This window comes from Homo sapiens, chromosome 14 (assembly GCF_000001405.40).
Source record: "Homo sapiens chromosome 14, GRCh38.p14 Primary Assembly".
Lineage (NCBI taxonomy): Eukaryota > Metazoa > Chordata > Mammalia > Primates > Hominidae > Homo > Homo sapiens.
Window position 1 is genome coordinate 48,033,498 of NC_000014.9, and position 24,896 is coordinate 48,058,393.

The 24,896-nt window shown below is 36.5% G+C and overlaps 1 pseudogene, besides 1 other annotated feature; it reads left to right on the forward strand.

Moving 5' to 3' along the window:
* Nucleotides 11,984-12,722, forward strand: LOC100418768 (ataxin 3 pseudogene; annotated as a pseudogene).
* Nucleotides 24,125-24,626: an enhancer, noted in NCBI's record as "NANOG hESC enhancer chr14:48526825-48527326 (GRCh37/hg19 assembly coordinates)". NCBI's record gives its function as "activates a minimal SCP1, AML or CMV promoter by ChIP-STARR-seq in primed H9 embryonic stem cells {active_cell/tissue: H9 hESC(primed)}" and the evidence as "EXISTENCE:reporter gene assay evidence [ECO:0000049][PMID:30033119]".

Consider the following 24,896-nt stretch of genomic DNA (forward strand, 5'->3'; position numbering starts at 1 on the left):
TGCATTTGCTGAGGAGTGCTTTACTTCCAATTATGTGGGTAATTTTAGAGTAAGTGTTATTTGGCACTTAGAAGAATGTGTATTTTGTTGATTTGGGGTGTTGAGTTCTGTAGGTATCTATTAGATTCACTTGATTCAGAGCTGAGTTCAAGTTCTGAATATTTGTGTTAATTTTCTGTCTCATTGATCTGTCTAATATTGACAGTGGGATGTTAAAGTCTCCCACTATTATTGTGTGGGAGTCTAAGTCTCTGTAGGTCTCTAAGAACTTGTTTTATGAATCTGGGTGCTCCTGTATTGGGTGCACATATATTTAGGAAAGTTGGCTCTTCTTGTTGAATTGAACCCTTTACAACTATGTAATGCCCCTCTTTGTCTTTTTGGATCTTTTTGGTTTAAAGTCTGTTTTGTCAGAGACTAGGATTGCAACCCCTGCTTTTTTCTGTCGTCCATTTGTTTGGTAAATTTACCTCTATCCCTTTATTTTGCACCTATATGTGACTTCGCATATAAGACGGGTCTCTTGAATATAGCACACTGATGGGTCTTGACACTCCAATTTTCCTGTCTGTGTCTTTTTATTGTGGCATTTAGCCCATTTACATTTAAGTTTAATATTGTTATGTGTATATTTGATCCTGTCATCATGATGCTAGCTGGTTATTTTGCATACTAGTTGATGTAGTTTCTTCATCATGTCATTGGTCTTGATATTTTGGTGTATTTTTGCAGTGGCTGGTACCGGTTTTTCCTTTCCACATTTAGTGCTTCCTTCAGGAGCTCTTGCAAGGCAGACCCGGTGATGATGAATTCCCTCAGCATTTGCTTGTCTGAAAAAAAAATTATTTATCCTTCACTTATGAAGCTTAGTTTGGCCAAATATGAAATTCTTGGTTGAAAATTCTTTTCTGTAAGAATGTTGAATATTGACCCTCACTCTATTATGGCTCATAGGGTTCCTGCTGAGAGATCTGCTGTTAGTCTTATGGTCTTCTCTTTATAGGTGACCTGGCCCTTCTCTCTGGCTACCCTTAGCATTTCTTCGTTCATTTTGACCTTGGAGAATCTGATGATTATGTGTCTTGGGGTTGATCTTCTTTTGGAGTATCTTAGTGGTATTCTCTGTATTTCCTGAATTTGAATGTTGGACTGTCTTTCTAGGTTTGGGAAGTTTCTTGGATAACATCATGAATTGTGTTTTCCAACTTGGTTCCATTCTCCCCATCTCTTTCGGGTACTCCAGTCAGTCATAAGTTCTGTCTTTTTACATAGTCCCACAGTTCTCGGATGTTTTGTTCATTTATTTTAATTCTTTTTTCCTCTAATTTGCCTGCCTGCCTTATTTCAGCAAGATAGTCTTCACTCTGATATTCTTTTTTCCACTTGATCGATTTGGCTGTTGATACTTGTGTATGCTTCACGAAGTTCTTGTACTGTTTCTCAGCTCCATCAGATCATTTATGTTCCTGTCTAAATGAGTTATTCTAGTTATCAGCTCCTGTAACCTTTTATCACGATCTTAGCTTCTTTTCATTGGGTTAAAACATGCTCCTTTACCTCAGTGAAATTTGTTATTACCCGTCTTCTGAAGCCTACTTCTGTCAATTTGTCCATCTCATCCTCCATCCAATTCTGTGCCATTGCTGGAGAGGTGTTGTGATCTTTTGGAGGAGAAGAGGCACTCTGGCCTTTTGGGTTTTCAGTTTTGTTGTTGTTGTTGTTGATTCTTTCTCATCTTCATGAGTTCATCTAGTTTTGATCTTTGAGGCTGTTGACCCTTGAATGAGGTTTCTGTGGGAACTTTTTTTGTTGATGCTGTCGTTGTTGCTTTCTGTTTGTTTGTTTTTCTTTCAATAGTCAGGTCCCTCTTCTGCAAGGCTGCTGTGGTTTGCTGGGGGTTCACTTCATGTCCTATTCATCTGATTCTTTCCCATGCCTGGATGTCACTCCAGGAGGCTGGAGAACAGCAAAGATGGGTGCCTGTTCCTTCCTCTAGGATCTCTGACCCCAAGGGGCACCGACCTGATGCCAGCAGGAATGCTCCTCTTTGGGTGTCTGACGACCCCTGTTGGGGAGTCTCACCCAGTTGGGTGGCACGGGAAGCAGAATCTGTTTAATGAAGCACTTTGCCTGTTCCTTTGTGGAGGGGGGAGTGCTGAACTGGGGGAAAACGCACTTTTCTGTGCTGCGCAGATTCCTCAGAGCTAGCAGGAGGGAAGAGTTTGCTAGTCTTCGCAGACTATGGGCCCCCCACCCACTAGGGGCTCAGGCCCAGGGAGATCAGAGTTCTGTCCCTGAGCCCTGGCTGGAGTTGTTGGAGTTCCTGCAGGGAGGCCCCACCCAATGAGGAGGGATGGTTCAGGATCTGTCCTGAAGAGGCAGTCTGGCTGCCATCTGCCACAGCCAGTGTGCTAGGCTGTGGGGAATACCTCTTAGGACCAAGCGTCTCACCTCCCTGACTCCAGCAGGGGAAAAGCACGCCCCTGGAGCTGTAAGTGATGGCTGCCGCCCCTCCCACAAGGAGCTGAGACAGCTTAAACAGCAAGCAGAAGTAGTGCTTGCTGCCCCTCCCCTCGGGAACTTGGCAGGCTTAGGCAGATTCCAGCTAAGTAGCTGTTGAGAATCTGTGCAGCTCCATGGCTGGGATCCAAGGCGCCGGTGGGGTAGGATCATGAGTGGGATATTCCGAACCATGGGTTGCACATTTCCGTGGAAAAAGCACAGTTTCCCAGACTGGGTAGTATGTTCAGTCACTACCTCCCTTTGCTGGGGGTGTGGCTCTCAGGTGGGCTGCCGCACCACACTGCTCTTCCTTCCTCTCTGTGGGTCATGCCAGCTGCCTAGTCAGTCCTGATGACAGAACTTGGATACCTCAGTTGCCTGTGCAGGATTCCCACGCTGTTTTGGTTCTTTTCTATGGGAGCCTTGATCACCTCTGCTTCCAGTTGGCCCCGCCCCCACCTGGCTTTCAGCTTTTCTCCATACAATGTGATGTTATCTGTGGATTTGTCACATAGGGCCTTTATTATGCTGAAGTATGCTCCTTCTATGCTTAGCTTGTTGAGAGTTTTTAAAATGAAGGATGCTAAATTTTATCAAATGTTTTCTCTGCATCGATTATGATGATCAGATTGTTTTAGTTCTTCATTCTGTTGATGTAACATATTACATTATTGATTTGTGTATATTGAACCATTCTTGCATTCCCAAGATAATTCTCACTTGATCATGATGTATTTTTTTTTTAATGTGCTGTTAGATTAGGTTTGTTATTTTGTTGAGGATTTTCCCCTCTATGTTTGTCAGGGATATTGGTCTATAGTTTTGTGTGTGTGTGTGTGTGTGTGTGTGTGTGTGTGTGTGTGTTTGTCTGGTTCTGATATCAGGGTAATGCTGATTGTGCAGAATTTGTTAGGGAGAATTCCCTCCTCTTCAATTTTTTTTGGAATTATTTGAGGATAATTGGTCATAGTTCTTCATTGAAAATTTGGTGGAATTCAGCAGTGAAGCTATTCAGTCCTAATTTTCTTCACTGGGAGACTTTTGATTCAATCTCTTCAATCTTATTACTCGTTTCAAATTTTCTATTTCTTCCTGATTCAAATTTGATTGATTGTATGTGTCTAGGAATTTATTCATTTTTCTCTAGGAGTTTCTGATGATCTTTGTATTTCTGTACTATTCATTGTAATGTCTCATTTTTTTAGTTTGTTTGTATCTGGTTTTGTTTATTTTTTTCTTCTCTCTTTTTTTGTTAGACTAGTTTGTGGTTTATTGATTTTCTTTATATTTTCAACAAACCAACTTTCTGTTTTATTGGTTTTTATTCTAAATGTTTTTTTTTTTTAGTTCTGCTCTGATTTTTATTATTTGTTTTCTTCTACCAATTTTGGGTTTGGTTTGTTCTGCTTTTCTAGTTCCTTGAAATGAACAATTAGTTTATTTGGAATCTTTCTACTTTTGTGATGTAGATGTTTATTGCTATAAGTCTCCCTTTTATTACTACCTTTACTGAATTCCATGGGTTTTGGCATGTTGTGTTTTGATATTCATTCATTTCAAAAAATTTTTTTATTTCTTTCTTGACCCAATGGTTATTTAGGAGCATGTTGTGTAATTTCCATGTATTTGTACAGTTTCCAAAGTTCCATTTATTGTTGATTTCTAGTTTTATTCTATTGTGGTCTGAAAAGATAATTGATATGAAATCAGTATTTAAAATTTTGATGAGACTTGTTTTGTGCCTTATTATGTGGGCTATTTTGGGTAATTTTTACTGTGCCGATGAAAGCGATGTGTATTCTGCACCTGTTGGATACATTTTGTGAATGTCTGTTTGGTCTGTTTAGTCTAAAGTCCAGCTTAAATCCAATGTTTCTTTGTTGATCTTTTTATCTAGATAATCAGTATAATGCTGAGGGTGGGGTATGAAAGTCCCCAACAATTACTCTAATGAAGAGTGTATCTCCTTTTAGATCTAATAATATTTGCTTTATATATTTTGTGGCTCTGGTTTTGGGTGCATAGATATTTAGAATTGTTATATCCTTTTGCTAAATCAATCTTTTTATCATTATATAATGACCATCTTTGTGCCTATTTATTGTTTTCTACTTACAGACTGTTTATCTAACATAAGTATAGCTATTTCTGCTTGCTTTCAGTTTCCTTTTGAATGAAATATATTTTTACTTCTCTTTACTTTATGGCTATATGTGTTTTTAGAAGTGATAGGAGCCTCTAGTAGGTAGCACAGAGTTAGTTCATATTTTTTTAATCCATCCAGCCAGTCTAATCTTTAAGTGGAAAATTTAATTCATTTACACTCAAGGTTATTATTGATATGTGATGACTTATTTTCATCTTTTTGTTAATTGTTTTCTGATTGTTTCGTGTATCTCATGTTCATATCTTTCTCTCTTATTGTTTGCATTGGAGTTTCCTGTAGGGGTAACATTTTAGTCTTTTCCTCATTTGTGTATTTGTTCTACTACTAAGTTTTATGCTTTTATGTGTTTTCATAATGGTAGATAGTGATAGCCTTCTTTTGCTTCCAGGTGTAGGACTCCCTTAAGTATTTCTGGTAGGGCTGATCGATTGGGTGAAATCCTTCCGTTTTTTCCTGGTCTGGGAAAAACTTTTTCTCCTTCATTTGTGAAGGATAACTTTGTTGGGTATAGTATTTTTGACTGGCAGTTTTTTTTTTCTTTCAGCACTTTGGATATATCATTCCATTCTCCCCTAGCCTATAATTTTGCCGCTAAGAAATCTACTTTTAGATTGATTAAATTATCTTACATGTGACTAGACATTTTTCTCTTGCTGATTTTAGAATTCTTTTTCTATGACTTGACAGTTTTACTCTAATGTGCTGTGATGGTTAATACTGAGTGTCAACTTGATTGGATTGAAGGATACAAAATATTGATCCTAGGTGCATCTGTAAGGGTGTTACCAAGGGAGAGTAACATTTGAGTCAGTGGGCTGGGAAAGACACACCCACCCTTAACATGGTTGGGCACAATCTAATCATAGTTACCAGTGCTGCTAGAATATAAGCAGACAGGAATATGTGAAAAGTGAGACTGACCTCACCTCCCAGCCTATATCTTTCTCCTGTGCTGGATGCTTCCTGCCTTCACATATTGGACTCCAAGTTCTTCAGTTTTGAACCTCAGACTGGCTCTTTTTGTTCCTCAGCCTGCAGATGGCCTATTATAGGACCTTGTGATCATGTGAATTAATACTTAATAAACTCTCCTATATATATTCCATTAATTCTGTTTCTCTAGAAAACCCTGACTAATATATGTGCCTTGGAGAAGTTTTTGGATTATATCTACTTAGGATTCTTGGTCTTCCTGTATCTGAATGCGTAACTCTATTCTAGACTTGGAAAGTTTTTTGCTAATATTTCATTAAATAGGTTTTATATGCCTTTGACCTTCTCCTCACCTTCTAGAACATGAAAATCTTGAATATTTGGTCACTTTATATTGTCCCATATGTCACATAGGTTTTTTTTCTTTTTTACTCTTTTTTATTTATTTATTTATTTATTTATTTATTTATTTTGGTATGGCTGGGTTATTTCAAAAGACATGTTTAAATTCTGAGATTTTTCTTCTGCTTGATATAGTTTATTGTTGAAACTCTCAATTGTATTTTTAAATCTCAGTCATGGAATTATTCAATTACAATTCAGTTTGTTTCTTTTTAATAATATCTATCTCTTTGGTGAATTTCTTATTTATATCCTGAACTGTTTTTCTGATTTATTTGCATTCTTTATCTAGGTTCACTTGTATCTTTCTGAGCTTAACATTATTATTTTTTTCTTCAGGCATTTTATACATTTTTATTGGAATCTGTTATTGAATAATTATTGTGTTCCTTTGGTGGTATTATATTTTTTTTTTGCTTTTTCATGTTTCTTGTGTCCTTACATTGACATCAGCACATTTGGTGTAACAGTCACTTTTTTTCCAATTTTTTGGATTGGGTTTTATAAGGGAAAACTTTTTCCTGTCGATATGTCTATGGTGTTGGCTGGGTAAGGTACTTTAGCTTTGATTTTTGGTGTGTGTAGAACTGTAGCCTCTGCATGATTTCTTTGTCTTTAAACAATATCAGTAGTGTTTGTAAATGTCTCAGTGACTTAAGCTGCAGTTCTTAGTGGAAGCTGCGGTGAGGCTTTGCTGGAGATGGGGATGCCAGGTAGGCTAGTCCTTGGGCCCCAGTTGTACCTGCAGTAGACTGTGTTCCTGTCTTTGAACCAGTGGACATCAGACGTGATCACTGGTGTTAGCAGGTCTATGTGCCCTAATTCTTGAGCCTCCAGGTGGCTTACTTGGTTACTGGCAGTGGCTTCAGTGGGCCAAGTAGGTTGATCATTCCTTGGAATCTATAGCAGCATGTGTGGCATAGACAATGGCAGTGGTGGCATTACCCTTGGGCTTCCAAGAGGCACACACTTATGTTAATTACAGCTAAAATGGGGAGGGTGAGTGAGTCCCAGTTGGTACACGCAGGTAGATGCTGGCCATAGTAGTAGTTGCAGCCTGGTTGCCCCATCCTCAGGCACCCAGGAGAAGTTCACAGATGCCAGCAGTGGTGGCTGGGTGTGAAGATCCCCAGGCTCCTTGACAGCATACTCAGCATACTTAGGCACTGGTAGCAGGTGTTCTGGGCCAGTTGTTAGGCCCCTGGTGTTGCACACTCATGCTTGGGGCTACCAAAATGCCAGGGTAATGCCCAGATCTCCTGGTGGACTGCTTAGCCACTGAATGGAGGCAGTGCCAGGCTGGGTGATTCTGTCCTTACACAGCCCCAGTGTTGTGCATGTGTGTAGGTTGTGGTGAGCAGAGAAACCACATGTAGACAATTCCTGCAGCCAGGATAAAGAATTTTAGTGATTTTCTCTGCATGCCACAATCTATAAAACTGTGAGAAGCACTGCTTTAGGGAATCTGAAAAATTCAATTACTTTATGAAAGATAGTATAAATGGATACACAATTACTTTATTTGCTTATATTTATCAAATAGTTATTATTTAAAATATATATTTATTAAAATTTATTATTTAATAGTCATGTATTAGATTTTTCCACAGCACATATTTAAAATTATATATATGTATGTGTTTGTGTGTATGATTATGACTCATTAATGTTTAATAAAGGCATACCTAAGCTATATCCCAGGGAAATGAAAATGTTGCCAAGAATATATTTTAAAATAACTTTAAAAAAGCAAACCAGAGGCATAGCTTAAGGGCAATAACAGTCATCTTACAGACAAATTGGTGTTGAATTTTTATCTATTATATATAAAAAGAAAAAGAAAAGCATATTGATGAATGGCTGTTAGTACATAGCTCGGAGAGAAGGAATCTAAAATAGTACTGGGAAAATATTAACCTACTTCACCTTAATTGTTGATGAAAGATTTAGGCACGCCTCAGGTCTTGCTTAACATGCAAATTATAAAAGTAAGGTGTTCTTATATCTGCGAAATACATCAATAAACTCTGTATTTTCCCAAGTGTTACAACTTGCTATAATACTATGGTATTTATTATACCTGTAAAAGATAAAAATGATGATTGAAATAGTTATCCACATGATTCTGGAAATAACATGTGTGTCTGTTTTGCCTTAAGTTTTGTGTTGGGTTTTGTTTTGTTTTGAGTGAGTGTATCATATCCTGGATAATAGATAATATCCATATTAGAAATATGTCTAATATGACTTGTTTATTTTACTTGTAGGTAAACTTATTTATGGAATAATAGAATCTTAGAACTGGAAGGCATCATCTATCTCTGTCCCTTGTATAGCTATGAAAATCAAGCTGAAAATAGGTGAAGTAATTTCTTCACACTTTAACCTCTCTAATTTTTATGTAGCCTCCCTTCATGTCATTGAGAATAATGAGAGTAGATCTCAATTTTCTTCAGCATATAAGGACAATGAAACAAGAGTTAATATCCACTGAATATGAACATATGCAAGGCACTGTTCAAGGTGCTTTACACATTTTATCATTCAGCCCTAGCAACAATACAAACGGTTTGAAAATAACATCAATATTTCACAAAAGAGGAACCTTAATCTATCAGTGAAATTTTGTGTATGATAACCAATTTGTAGCTACTAAGAAGCAGAGGTAAAATTTGAAGCAATGACATCTGGTTCTCTAGATCTGATTTTCTAACCACAGTAAAAAACCCTTTCCATGTGCTCAATATGGTATTAGTGACAATTCTTCAGCTATAACCCTTTCTATTCCACTTTTACAGAAACATATATGATAGTTCATCAGCAAAAGGAAAAGTTTAAGATTGTAAGAGTGGTAACTGGTGTGTTTGTGTGTGTGTGTGTGTGTGTGTGTGTGACAGGGAGAGAGAGAGAGAGGAATAGAGAGAGATTCATAATTGGAGCTACTTAATTTCAGTTTATTTATCAAAATGATACAAGACACCAGTTTAAAAGTGAGAAATGTGTTTAATTAGAGCTCATTGATTATGCCTGAGTACTTAAAGCACCAGATTTTAAGGACAGTCATCCCTCTCAAGAGGTGATCTGAAACCTGAAGTGTTTATGAAAGCTGGAGCCCAGGAGTTCAAGACTGCGGTGAGCTATGAGCTTGCCCTGCACTCCAGCCTGGGTGAGAAAATAAGACAAGACCCCATCCTTAAAACAAACAAATAAATAAATAAAATTTGTATTAAAAGCTGAGACTTTCATTTTTACTGATTAAAAACTTTTACCTTTGAGATTTAAAAGGCTGATTCTTCACATTACTGTTTACTTTTTTATAACCAGAATCCCAGATTTCCCAGATGATTCATTATCACAAAGATGCTTATTACCATACTCCTTTTATATTATTTAATCTGATCCTAGTAAACTTCACTTTCTGCTAGCCCAAACCTTTCTACTCTGACCTCTGAAGTGCAATATATTTTTCCAATTTTATTTTCTGCTATGGTGACAGCTCACATCGTAACACAGTAAGGTCAGAACAGTGACAATTAGTGGGGTAAGACCATTCAACTCAAACATACAAATTCAATCACTTGATGCATTCTGGAGAAATATGTCACTGTAGAGGAAGAGTATTCTAACAAAAAAGTAGTATTCTCAACTACAAATCCCCAAAAAAACCTGAAGTATACATTTTTTTCTTATTTTTAAATGGTAAAAGAGAGATTTCCAGTGTTGTTCTTTTTACATACAATGAACACTTTGGTAGTTGTGGAAGAGAATATTACCCTAACTGTAGAACAGAATTCCAAATGCCCCCAGATAGTTCGGTTGGTCCATCACCAATATTTTTTTAAGGAACTGGCATTTTTTTATGTTCTAAGTCTATCTCATATTGTATACACACATGCACACACACACATACACTTTAAGTTACACACATGTTGTGTATACAGATGTGCATGTGTGTATGTATAGGCCATTTGGCCAATTAACTTCATTTCCTTCCAGTCTACATATCTATGATAGAATAATAGACCCTATCATCCTATTATCATCTAGAATTATTTCATCCCTAAAATTCATTTCTAAAACTATTCTTCTCCCTCCGTGGCCATTTCACTATCTATTGGTCTGATCTTCATTCTAATTATACTTGTATTATTCCCATACCCTACAACTGGACTTTTTTTTTTTTCATAATCTGCACAAAGCCCCAATGTACCATCAATCCAATGGCTGTTTTGCTAATACTTGTTCTCCTTAACTCTGGTATTCCATTATTTTACCAGAAAGAATCTCATCCCCAATTGATTCAAGTTTCATCATATGTGTTTTTTCGCACAAAAATGATACATGCATCAAGAGAAAATTACAAAATATATGTGTTCAATGTTTTAAGAAATACAATTTTAATCCAAATGATAAAATAATGAGAAATATAAAAACAATCTTGCTAGCAAAAGCAGGAAAGTACATTAGTTTTCTCAGTTGCTCACTTATTTGCATGTGAAATAGGATCCCAATAATCTGTTGCAAAAGTAGAAAGAGTATGAGATGTGTGGTACACAGAAAATATTAATGGACATGGGAAAAACAGAAGTTATGTTTTATTTCTATATAAAATATAAATTACCGTTGACTGTTGTTACTTCTATTTTCAGTGAGGTATGTTCTCAGATTTTCTGAGAACACAGCAGAACAAGAGAGACAAATAGCATTTACCCTCAAGAAGCTTAGAATCTGTGAGGAAACAGAGGTACTTTTAAAGGATAGAAATTATAAAAATAATTATCCATTTATAGTTGTAATAAGTTCCTCAAAGCAAAAGCAGAGTGTACAGTGAGAGCATGAAATATAGACGACTGACTTAACCTGGGGTAATTTCCTGAAAATTGATGGAAAAAAGTTGCTAGTTAGAAGAAAAATATTATGGGGAAGGAGAAAAGAATATTGCAGCAATTAAGCTTAGCATGTAAGAAGACAATAAAACAGGAAGGAGTTTGCTTCCAAGCAAACAAACTAGGCTCCTGGAAACAGTGATCAAGGGGAAAGGGTGTTTCTGAGGACTCTGGGTGATTGACAGGAGGCATGTTGTAAAGTTATCTTTACACTTTTTAAAAATTTGGAACACATAACAGGAAGATATTTACACTACAAGCATTTGAATAAGATTGAAATATCTACATGTGCCGGGCGCGGTGGCTCACGCCTGTAATCCCAGCACTTTGGAAGGCCGAGGCGGGCAGATCACGAGGTCAGGAGATCGAGACCATCCTGGCTAACACGGTGAAACCCTGTCTCTACTAAAAATACAAAAAATGAGCCGGGCGTGGTAGCGGGCGCCTGTAGTCCAGGCTACTCGGGAGGCTGAGGCAGGAGATTGGCGTGAACCCGGGAGGAGGATCTTGCAGTGAGCCGAGATCGCGCCACTGCCCTCCAGCCTGGGCGACAGAGGGAGACTCCGTCTCAAAAAAAAAAAAAAAAAAAAAAGAAAAAGAAAAAGAAAAAAAGAAAAAAAGAGATATATCTACATGTTAACAATGTAATTCTAGCTATTCCAGTGACAGTTATTGATTTGGAAGAGAAGACAGGATTATACAGTTAGAAACTTGTTAGTAGATTATTGCAATACTTCCGTGTAAAAAAAAAAAGATAAATTGTTTCTTAGAGAGAGTGCAGATAGTGATGGTCTTTCTTTTTCCTATGCGTATCTGGATGTAATGCTTGAAACAGCTGCAGCCATCCTGCAATCCGCTGAGGATGAAGCCACACAAAGAATGAGCAAGCAAAAAGAAAGAAAGAACCTAAGTCTTACATAATGTCATTGAGTCCTAGAATCAATTAAGCCTGACGCTGCACTAGGATTTCTAGCAACCAGAATTGAGGCCTAGTAAAAAGACCTCTGTGGTAGCATACAGACTTTAGCGAAAGCTGAACAACTGAAATTTCTTCAGAAGTTAAGATTTCTTCCTGTGTTAGAAACTTCCGTAGAGAGTTATAAGCAATGCCTTGAAAGTTTAGAATTTGAACTAATCCTATTCAAATCTAGAGTATCAGACGCTGTCTTGATCAGAGGCTCAGGCTTGATCTTATAAATGAAAGGCCATTATAAATAGGCAATTATAAAGAACACTGGTTTACAGTTAGAAATTAATAAAATATATTCTTTCTATCTGAAGCTCCTATAAAATGAAAGACTGAAAAAATATATTGGATATGTCAAAATCCAAGAGAAATAGTTGATGATGATAATGACGTGATTTAGTGTCCTGGATTTTCTCTTTACAAGTCCAGAATTAGCATGAAACAAATACCTTGCACTTGGGAGCTATTCTATATTTGTTGTTCAGGGCGATCTTACAGATTGTGAAGTTGATGAACTCCTCCAGACAATCAGGGTCCAACAGAAGCACTGACTTAAACTTATCAGAGAAGAATTAGCACAGCTAAAAAATCAGATATTGAGTGAATCTTAGTAAGAATTGATGAATCAAGAGCACTCAATGAAGAAGGAAAGATTTGCAGAGAGCTATGACAGTAAGTCACCAAGAAATTGACATGGAAGATGAAGAAGCAGGTCTCCATGAGGGTATTTAGCTCAGTATGCAAGATAGTTTCAGAATATATTTCAAGATAGTTTCAGAATATGTTTCAAGATACTCCACAGACATCAGGTATAAATATTATTTCAGAAGAGCTACAGAAGAGAAGAGAAGCCTACTTAGAAAAGTAATTACTTTAAAAAATTAAAATTATATAGATACATAGATAGCTAAATAGCTAGATAGGTAGATGCTTAGATACATAGATGTAGGCTTGGGATATAATGGCAGCAATTGATCTCTGGTCAGAGCAAATTGATTGGAAAGGAGCATGAAGAAGCTTTTTGGCGTGATGAAATATTGTATGCCTTGATCGGATTGGTAATTATATTGGAGTATAAATTTATCAAATTCAAACCTTACAATTAAACTATGTACATCTTAGTATGTAAGTTATGCTTCAGTAAACGAAAATTTTGAAAAAGTTAATTTATTTCATGTAAAAAGTTGACAAAGAAAGAGAGGAAAAATAAGTATGATTCAACTTCTGTTGCCTCAATAACTGTTCTGAAGAGTAATTTCAGTGAGGAAAGATAAAGCTTGGTGATGTGTGGTAGATTAGGGGAGAGGATTTTTTCACTTATTGAACTTTTTGTTCCTGAGATTATACAGAGAGACATAAGGAATTGGATCTCAGAGAAAATTGTAGTTCAGTTATAATCCTGGAAAGACTGACGTATGTGGTAATTGACAACCTAGGGATAATGTTGTGTGTGATGAATGTGTCTAGAGTTAGAATACAACAATGAACAGAGAAAAAAACCTAAATTCAGATCTGGGGGACTTTCAATATTTTAACATTAGGCCAGAAAGAGAGACTAATTAGGCAGCAGCCATAATGATGAGAGAAAAACAATTTAAATCTCAGCTTTCAATAAGGAGAAAATGACCAAATCAATTAGGTCTAATAAAAATACAGAATTAATGAAGACCAAAAAGTGTCCAATACTTTTAGGAAATTGGAAGTTATTAATGATTTCAAGTTTAGTAGCTGCAAGGGTATGTCATATACAGGGAAGCCTATAATTCTTAAGTCTAGAGATATCAGAGAATGTTTAAATGCTGATGGAAGTTATCCAGTACAAAGTAAGAGGATTAAAGATACAGGATAGCAAGAGATAGATAAAGGTTTAACCTTATTGAAAGAAAACAAGGGGCTAAGATTCAGAAGAAAAGTAACATACGAGACTAGAGACGGGCATTTTTTTTTCATTTTTATTGGAGGAAATAATAATGATAAGTAGAGATTAAGGTAAATGTGTTGATTTGAAGCCAAAATTGCAGAAGTTTTAACTGGATTACTTTTATTTTCTAAATGAAGCGCATTACAAGGTCACCTTCACAGTGTATGGTTAGAAAGTGAACACAGTACGGTTGGTCTGATAGCTCCAGGGAGATGGGGGAGTGAGCTAATGACAGATTACCTTGTAGAACTGAGGATATGTTTGAACTCTTCAGTGAATTTCTTTACATTTTTACAACATATAAATACACGGGGATAAATGCAACTAAAGTTCAAGTGTGGCTTTTTCTTAGACAATAACATTTTAGTTACCTAGAATTTCCATATGGAAATAGAAGGATTTGCTTGTCACACTAATATTTTGTGCATATTGACTAAATATTTATAATGATGTGTTAAAAGTATATCTGGGGGATTTTAATTGGTGGAGGCAACCTAGTGCCAAAATAAAAAGGTCAATGCCATTGAAAGAAGATTTTATTACTCACATTTCCCAAGAGAAGGAGACATGCCAGGCCATATAGGACCACAAAGGAAATTCCAGGTTTGGTCAGCCAGAAGCAGGAGCAAGGGAGAAGCCTACACCAAATCCTTTATTGGGGTTTCTGCGGGAAAGGTAAAGCATGGCAAAGTAAACTGTTAAGAATTGGCTGGCTTGAATAATTTCCATGGGCAGTAGGGGTGATCTCCACTGGAAACTAATCCGCCAGTGATTTAGGGCAGGGAAAGTCTTGGGGTGTGAGAGTTAAGGAGGTGGTTTGGACTACAAGATTGGGATTGGTTGGTTTGCATATAAAAGACATGCTCCTACCTAGCCAACCCTTTTGCCATCTGGAATTGGCTAGACCTGGGAGTGGCAGTCTATCAACTGATAGCAAGTTCTTTTAGATGTCAAAAACATAAAATATAGAAAATTTAAAAACATAATTAATTTAAATGGTGTTAATTTACATTTTTGTGTTAGTTTTCTCTAAGAAATTCCAATCATTTGTTTTAAGTCAAAAAGAAAATGAATTTTGAATTTTCCAGGAATTCTGAGGACAAAGAGCAAAGGATTTAAAATAATTTTGAAAGAAGTGATTACACTGACAAAAAGTGAAATTTAAGGTAGGTAGGAAGAGACTGTTACAGCAGGAGATAAAGGAGAAAATGACAGGTGGGTTTCCGAGTAAGAAAATTTGAAGTGTTAGAGATTTTGTTCAGAAAATGGGATGTTTGACTTACTGATTCTGTGGGTGATAAGTTTTGAATATTGACAGGTGGAAAGATTTAAGAAAGGATAACTTCATTGAAAATAAAGTGTCCAAGGATATGAGAGGTTAAATTGGGTGCATCATCAGTGTGGAATTTGAAGACATCTAGGATGATGACAGAAAAACTGTGTTAGAGAGAAAAGATTACAACTGAGTGACTGAAGTTTTTAAATAATGAGAGATGGCAAGAAACTATGTATCAGAAATAAGAAGACAAATATAATTTTATAACCTAGAGTCTCAGTGGAGTGGGGGATGGATAAATAATATAATTAGAATGACTTTGGGATCAAGACGTTGATGTACATATGATGTGAAAGGATGCACTTAAAGCAGTACAGGTAAGTGGTGTAAGATGGTCATCATTTGCATTTCAGAGATGGAAATAAAATTCAGAGATGGAGAAGAAAGAGAACTTCAAAAAATATTTCCAGTAGGAATTCTGAAAGACATAAAGAAAGATTTAGCCAGGAGATGAGGAAGTGGGAATTGGATACAGAGCAAGAAAGACCAAATCATTTAAAGGATTACACTAGACTAGAATATAAATAACAGGAAGGGATGTTACTACAGTGGTCATTGATCCATAAGAGATGCATTAGAGTCAGCATAGATTTTTTATTGATGATGCTTTGGCAGGTTTGTATTTATGACAAATTTTCTGCATTCTGAGAAGGAAGTCCTGCTGTTTGTTATGAAGTAAAGTATGATTTTCTTCTGTAGGAGTTGGCATCTGCATGGGTAAAATAACTATGAGAGGATGACATAAATGCTTTTTGGTCACTGGAAGAAACAAAAGTTCTCTAAGAATATAAGCCTCAACTTCAAAAGAAATTCAAATAAGATTCTTGTCAGTGCATTATTGTTAAAAGTCCATATGCTAAATATTATTGAAATTATAAATCATTCTATTTCAACATAGAATTTATTAATCCTGTCTTGATGTCAGCTTCTTGGAGGATTCAAGCTAACAAGGATACCAATTTTCAAAACACTATTAGAGATAAGAGCACTATAGATTCTAAAGAATATGATGTCATTGAGTTTTAACATTGGGCATATTTTGTATGCCAGAGTAGGCATATACTTTTGATAATATTCAGTCTCTAAATTTGTCACTAAATAAACCACGTTTACATTACTATGTTTAAATATAGCTTTCAAGAAGTAGTAGAGTAATGAAATTATAGTTTTATCCTAAAAAATGTAACTAAATTTGCCAAAATGATCTTCAGTAGGTGTATACGTGAAATCTGTCATGACAGTCAAAAGATGCCTACAATATCATTTATTGCCAAATAATGTATTAGAATATTAATTTAGGAAACTTGTAATTTTACAAATGTATTTTATGTAAGAATGTCATGGAAACTAAAGCAAATATGTCAAACAGTTGATATATAATACATCCTCACAAAAGTATGTTTTAATGTGTCCTTTTATGTAAAAATTGCTTTTTTGAAGCTAAAAAGAAACCATGGAGGTCAAAAATAAGATAGGCATGGAAAAATAAACTTTGTGAAACAAAATGTAATTTCCACAGAAAATATTTGCAAAAGATATCTGATAAAAAACTGTTATCAAAAATAGACAAAGAACTCTTAAAACTCAATACTAAGAAAACTAACAACTCATTTAAAAATGGGCAAAAAGATCTGAACAGACACCTCATCAAAGAAGATATACAGATGACAAATAAGCATATGATATGATGCTCCACATTGTATGTTACTAGGGAAATGCAAATTAAAACAACATGAGATATCATCACACACCTATTACAATGGCCAATATTCAGAACACTGACAACACAAAATGTTGGCAGGGATGTGGAGAACCACGCATTCTCATTCATTGCTACTGGAAATTTAAATAGGCACAGCCACTTTGGAAGAAAGTTTGGCAGTTTCCTATAGAGCTAGGTATCTTCTTATCATATCATCCAGCAATTGCATTTCTTCCTATTTACCTAAATAAGTTGAAAACTTACGTCCACACGCAAAAAAACACACAAAGATTTATAAAGGCTTTATTCATAATTGCCAAAACATGTTAGCAACTAAATGCCCTTCAGTAGGTGAATAGATAAATAAATTATGGTACATCCAAACAACGGAATATTATTCAGCATTAAAAACAAATGAGCTATCAAGCCATGAAAAGATGGATTAAACTTAAATGTATATTACCAAGTGAAAGAAAGTGTATTAGTCCATTCTGCATGGCTAAAAGGATTACCTGATACTGGGTAATTTATGAAGAAAAGTTTATTTGACTAGCAGTTCTGCAGACTGTACAAGAAGCATGGCACCAGCATCTGCCTCTGCTCAGGACTTTGGAAGCTTTTACTTGTGGTGAGAGGTGAAAAGGGAGTAAGTGTGTTGGATGGCAAGAGATGGAGCAAGAAATGAGGACAAGAGAGATGCCAGGCTCTTAAATAACGAGATCTCACATGAACTCATTACTTCGGGGAGGGCAGCAAGCCATTCTTCAGGGATCTGACCCCATGACCCAAACACCTCCCACCAGGCCCCACCTTTGACATTAGGGATCACATTTTAACATGAGATTTGGAGGGGACAGGTATCTAAACTATATTGGAAGGCAATTTGAAAATGCTACATACTGTATGATTAGAACTATAAGATATTCTGGAAAAGGCAAAACTAGGAAGACGGTAAAAGGATCACTGGGCCAGGCGTGGTGGCTCACGCCTGTAATCCCAGCACTTTGGGAGGCCAAGGCGGGCGGATCATGAGGTCAGGAGATCGAGACCATTCTGGCTAACACGTGAAACCCCTTCTCTACTAAAAATACAAAAAATTAGCTGGGTGTGGTGGCAGGCGCCTGTAGTCCCAGCTACTCAGGAGGCTGAGGCAGGAGAATGGCGGGAACCCGGGAGAGGGAGCTTGCAGTGAGCCTGGGCGACAAAGCGAGATTCCATCTAAAAAAAAAAAAGGATCATTGGTTGCTAGGGGCTGGAAGGAGGAGAGGGATAAAGAGGTGGAACATGGAGGATTTTTAGGGAGTCAGACTATTCAATTTGGTTCAATGACGTATTCAAATTGGGGTAATGATGATACTATAATGGTGGAAATATGGTAGAAACATGTTATGCACACTAAGAGTGAACTCTAACATAAAAGTTTGGGTGATAATAATATGTCAATGTAGGTTCACCAGTTGTAACAAATGTGTTACTCTGTTGTGGGATATTAATAATGGAGAAGGCAGTGCATATGTGGGAGGAGATACATGGGAACTCTCTGTACTTTCTGTGCAATTTGCTGTGAACCTAAAAGAACTGTTAAAAAAAAATAAGGTCTATTAAGAAATCATTCAATAAAGATAATCCTCTGATAAAGTAGGATTCAAACATACAAATCATAACGTAATCTATGCCGTTATATGTAAAAACACCCCTCAAACAAATGGGCTATCCATGAAAAAGCTTAGAGTGAATTAGCTGGAATGGTAATGTATCACCATTAAACAACAACAAAAAAAGAGGCTGGGCTCGGTGGCTCACACCTGAATCCCAGCACTTTGGGAGGCTGAGGCAGGCAGATCACCTGAGGTCAGGAGTTCGAGACCAGACTGGCCAACAAGGTGAAACCCCATCTTTACTAAAAATACAAAAATTAGCAGAGCATGGTGGTGGGCGCCTGTAATCACAGCTACTTGGGAGGCTGAGGCGGGAGAATTCCTTGAACCTGGGAGGCAGAGGTTGCAGTGACCTGAGATTGCACCACTGCACTCCAACCTGGGCAACAGAGCAAGACTCTGTCTCAAAATAATAATAATAATAATAATTGCCTAAAAATTCATTCTTCTACCTATCTAAATATCAAATTCAGATAAACAGAATTTAGAACTGTCTCATTCTCTCCACCATGCAAAGAAGGAAGCATTAGCTGTACCTTTGAAAACTCTTTTCTTACCTCCAACTATCTGTTTTGCAATTATGTCAATTCACATATGCTGCATCCATTATTGAATTAAAAATGTAAAATGCAGGCTTTGTCACAAACATCCCCATTCAGATTTCAATGAAATAATCCAGGATTTGAGCTGCTTTAGATGTGTATTGTTAACTTAAAAAATAAATTGGGAAAGAAGAGGGGGCTTTATTTTCCATAAAGGGTTACAGTCTGCAAGGCAGCCAGCCATCCTGCAGGTTGGGAAGCATAGCCTCCAGCAAAGACCAGAGACAGGCACTTCAAAGGAGGAGTGGTTGGGGTAAGAGTTTTATACTGAAAAAGTTTGTTCAACATACATATTCAACAGGTTATAGGAGAGGCTATGAATATTCATGAAGGTGGTCCTGACACATGCATATTGAACAAACATGCATGTAAAGTATGACCCACGTTAACCTTGGGGTGGAGATTTAACATTCAAATACATTACAAATAGGCCCAAGAAGGTATTTTCAGGACATGAAGGCACATAGGTGTGCAGCCTCTGTAAACTGGCCAGAAGCAGTCCGTGGTTGGAGGTCTTCTTATCAGGAGAAAGCTACTGAAATCAGTCTCTTGTGCAGTCAAAGCTGTAGTTATGGCTGGTGGAACAGGGGTTCAGTTAACACCTGTGAGTTGCATAAGTTGTAATTGTTTTAATATTGCTTATCTAGAGGTCAGTGCTTATTTAGCTACTACAGAAAAGGAAAAGCCTCCTAGCAGCTGAAACAGTTTATTTATGTCTAGGAGTGTGTGAATTAACCCTTGCCTGGACATGGTCTCAGGTCCTCTTTATAATTTGGCATCTTACTGCCACAAAGAGTGTCTTCTGTCATTGTTACGGCCTCTGTTTGAACATGAATGCTTGACAGTTTTTGTGTCTAAACTGGAAAAGGAAGGACCCCCTGTCCTGTCATAGGCAGGAACTCAATTTTAAGGATGTTTATGACCAAGAGGGGGTCCAGTCAGTCAGTGGGGAGGGGGTTAAGATTTTATTTTTAGTTTTAGTTTACAATATGCTCATCTAATTCCTTTACCTTCTTCTTTCTGTTCTATGATGAATGCGCTTTTATAATATTACACTTGGTCATGTGCTTCGTAACACGTTTTGGTCAATGGCAGATTCCACATATGAACTTGGTCCCATAAGATTATAATGGAGCTGAAAAATTCCTATCACCTAGTGATGTAGCCATCTTAACGTTACAGTGCAACATGTTACTTGTGTTTGTGGTGATGCTGGTGTAAACAAACCTACTTCACTGCCAGTCATATAAAAGTATAGCACATATTATTATGTACAGTACATAATACTTGATGATAATAATACAAGACTAAGTTACTGGTTTATGTATTTACTATTTATACTTTTATCATTAGCGTGTACTCCTTATAGATATATAAAAAAGAGTTAACTGTAAAACAGCATCAGGAAGGTCTTTCCGGAGGCATTCCAGAAGAAGGCATTATTATCATGAGATGACAGCTTCATGCATGTTATTGCCTCTGAAGACTTTCCAGTAGGTTAAGATGAGGAGGTAAAAGACAGTGATGTTGATAATTTTGACCATGTGTAGGCCTAGGCTAATGTGTTATTGTCTCTGTTTTTAACAAAAAAGTTTAAAAATTAAGAAAAGTAAAAAAGGAAAAATAGAAAAATGTTATTAAATAGAATATAAAGAAAGAAAATATTTTGGTACAGCTGGACACTATGTTTATGTTTTAAGCCAGATATTATTATTAAAGAGTCAAAAAGTTTAAAAAATTAAAAGTTTATAAAGTAAAATGTCACAGTAAGTTAAAGTTAATTTTTATTTCAAATAAATTGAGTGTAGCCTAAGTGTACAATGTTTATAAAGTCTCCAGTAGTATAGAGTAATGTCCTAGGCCATCACATTCACTCACCACTCAGACTCCAGAGCAACTTGTAGTCCTGTAAGCTCCATTCATGGTAAGTGTCCTACACAGGTGTACCATTTTCATCTTTCACACTATATTTTAACTGTATCTTATCTATGTTTTGATACATTTAGATACTTTAACACTTACCATTATGTTACAATTGCCTAACATATTCAGCACAGTAACATGCTGTACAGGTCTGTAGCCTAGGATCACTAGGCTATGCCAGATGGCATAGCTGTGTAGTAGGCTATAACATCTATGTGTAAGTACACTTTGCGATGTTCACACAACGATGAAATCATCAAATGATACATTTCTCAGACTGTATCCCCATGTTTAAGCAAGGCATGAGTGTATTTTCATATAGTGTTAAGGAAGCCATAAAAGCTAATTGCAGAGGTGAATTTCTATCGCCCATAATATCAGGAATTAATACTTCTGATGTGACTATTTACTGAATTAAGTCATGGAGATCTTTTAGCTAAACACGTATCTCTTTTCATTAAGTTCTAGATGCCATTTGAAGTTTCAGGTTGCTGACTAAATGGAATATCTTCCTCATTAGTGTCTCTCAGGATATCACTTTCCTTATTAATGCCTTAGACAAATAGAGCATTAAGCCATTGATTACATTTGCTCCAGTTTAAATAAAAGCACATGTAATAGAAAGTACATTTTGATGGTGTGTAAGATAGAATTATCCTAGAGCTTAATAGGGAAGGTTCTGTACTTATCATCAAGAATGCCATGGTATTGAATTTTGTCTAGGATAAGGATAGAATGAGCTATCAAATAATTTATAAAATGCTATTTATAACCTCAAGTTTAAAACCCTAAGACAGTCCCCAGGGCCAGCTTGTTTAGAGTTATAACTTGTAAATTGATGACAGAGACCTGATTTAACCGGTTACAAAGTCCCACTTGGCTGCATAATCAATGGGGCAGAAAAGACCTCACTAAAAAATCCTGCTCAAGCTCTTGAGAAACCAAAATTTCTCACACTCATCTTAGTGGTTTATACTCCAGAGACAAAGTGTGTCCTGTGTAACTGAGAAAGAATCCTGTGGAGCTGTGGACGTCTCTCAGCTCCTGATGACTGCTTGTGCTTTCTTTCTCCCGCTATACTATATTTATTACCTTGATTCAAGCCTATCATTAGTACCCCCTGAGAAGTCTTGCGACTGCTTCCAAATACCTGACCCTGGTGAAATTGTTACAGATGGCTTTAGAAAAAATAGTAATAATTTCTTTAGTATTGAGCTCCAAGTACATTTCTCCCAACACTAAATTTCCATTAGAAATAAAATGTTTTGGGGCTGGGCACAGTGGCTTTCGCCTGTAATCCCAAAACTTTGGGAGGCCGAGGCAAGCGGGTCACTTGAGGTCAGGAATTGGAGAGCACTCTGGCCAACACAGTGAAACCCCGACTCTACTAAAAATACAAAAATTAGCTGTGTGTGGTAGCTAGTGCCTATAATCCCAGCTACTCAGGAGGCTGAGGCAATAGAATCGCTTGAACCTGGGAGGTGGAGGTTGCAGTGGCCCTAGATTGTGCCACTGCACTCCAGCCTGGGTGACAGCGGGAGACTCTGCCTTAAAGAAAAAAAAATTCAAAACATTTGACAAAGGTCAACACTTTCTTTTGCTAACAACCACAGCTAACTTTGTAATCAATGGGAAGAAATGGAAAACTTTTCCTCTAAGATCTAGTACAAGGCAAAAATGTTCACTTTCATTACTTCTATTCAACATAGTACTGACATCTAAATGAGAAAGTAAGAAGTAAAATTCTTTCTTTATGCAGTTGATGTACTGCATATGGAGAAAGCTCTAAAAATTTCCAAAAACAATTTAGAACTAACAAATGCATTAAGTAAGTTTGCAGGATACAAAATCAACATACAAAAATCAGTTGCTTTTCTTTATACCAATATATCCAAAAAGGAAATAAAAACAACTTCATTTACAATAGGATTGAAGATAAAATATTTAGGAATACATTTAACCAAAGAAATATAATCTTCATGCTGAAAACTACAAAACATTGGCCTGGCACAGTGGCTCACGCCTGTAATCCCAGCACTTTGCGAGGCCAAGGCAGGCAGATCACCTGAGGTGTGGAGTTCGAGACCAGCCTGGCTAACATGTTGAAACCCCGTTTCTACTAAAAATACAAAAAATTATTCGGTCATGGTGGTGTGTGCCTGTAAACCCAGCTACTCGGGAGGCTGAGACAGGAGAATTGCTTGAACCTGTGAGACGGAGGTTGCAGTGAGCCGAGATCACGCCATTGCACTTCTGCTTGGGCAAGAAGAGCAAAACTCCATCTCAAAAAAAAAAAAAAAAAAAAGAAAAGAAAAAACCACCTATAAAACATTAATGAAAGGCTTCAAAATTTATTTCTCATTTCTAACTGAAACTTTATACCCTTTGACTAGCAACATCCCATTCCCTTTCTGCCTCCCAACACCCAGTCTCTGGTAACCAACATTCTACCCTCTACTTCTATCAGTTTAATATTTTTAGATTCCACATATAAGTGAGATCATAATCTTTGCATAGCTTATTTCTCCTAACATAAAATATTCCCTGGGTGTATCCAAGCTGCCACAGATGGCAGAATATCCTTCCTTTTTAAGGTTGAATAGTAAGTGTTCCATTGTGTGTGTGTGTGTTTGTGTGTGTATATGTAGATACACACACACACATATATATACCATATTTTCTTTCAAATAAATAAAAAGATATCTGTGTCCATTGATTTGAAGGATAAATATTGTTAAACTATTCATACTATTCCAAGCAATATACAGATTACATTATATATATAATATGTAGATTACAGAATTGGAATTTTGCTTGCAAAATTCCAATGACAATGACATTTTTTAAAGAAGTATGAAAAAAAAAATTCTAAAATTTGTATGTAACCAGAGAAGACCCTGAATATATAAAGCAATATTAAACAAAAATAACAAAGTTAGAATCATCACACTTCTGATTTCAAGTTATATTACAAAGCAATAGTAATCAAAACAGTATGATACTGGCAAGAAAACAGAAATATAGGTCAATGGAATAGAATTGGAAGCCCAGAAATAAACCCAGACATATACAGATAACAAGTTTTTAACAAGGCAACCAAGAAGTCACATTGAGAAAAAGATATTCTTTTCAATAGATGGTATTAGGATAACTGGAAACCCCCAAGCAAAAATTTAAGTTAGAACCTTACTTCACACCACAAACAAAAATCAACCCAAAATGAATTAAAGACCTAAATTTCAGACCTGAAACTGTAAAACTCCTAGAAAAAAAAATAGAGGAAGAGTTATTTATCATTGGCCTTGGCAATAAGTATTTTGGATATGACACCAAAAGCAAAGACAAAGAAGCAAAATAAACAAATGGGACTACATCACATTAACAAGCTTTTGCACAACAAAGGAAATAATCTACAAAATAAAAAGGCAGCCTACGTCTTGGAAGAAAATATTTGTGAATGACATGTCTGATAAGGGGTTTGTATTTAAAATATATGAAGAACTCACACAAATCAATAGTAAAAGATAAAAAACCGAATTAAAACACGGGCAAATAATCTGATAGACATATTTCCAAAGAAAACATTAAAATGGCCAACAAGTATATGAAAGTGTGCTCAACATCACTAATTATCAGGCAAATACAAATCAAATCTCAATGAGGTGTCTCCTCACATCTGTTAGGACTGCTATTCTCTAAAAGACAAGAGATAGCAGGTGTTGGCAAGGGTGTGGATATAAGAGATCCCTTGTGCACTACTAGTGGGAATGAAGATTGCTGAAGTCATATGGAAAATAGTATCAAAGTTCCTCAAAAAAGTGAAAATAGAACGACCTTGCCACCCAGCAATCCCTCTTCTGGAAATATGTCCAAAGAAAATAAAATCACCATTTCATA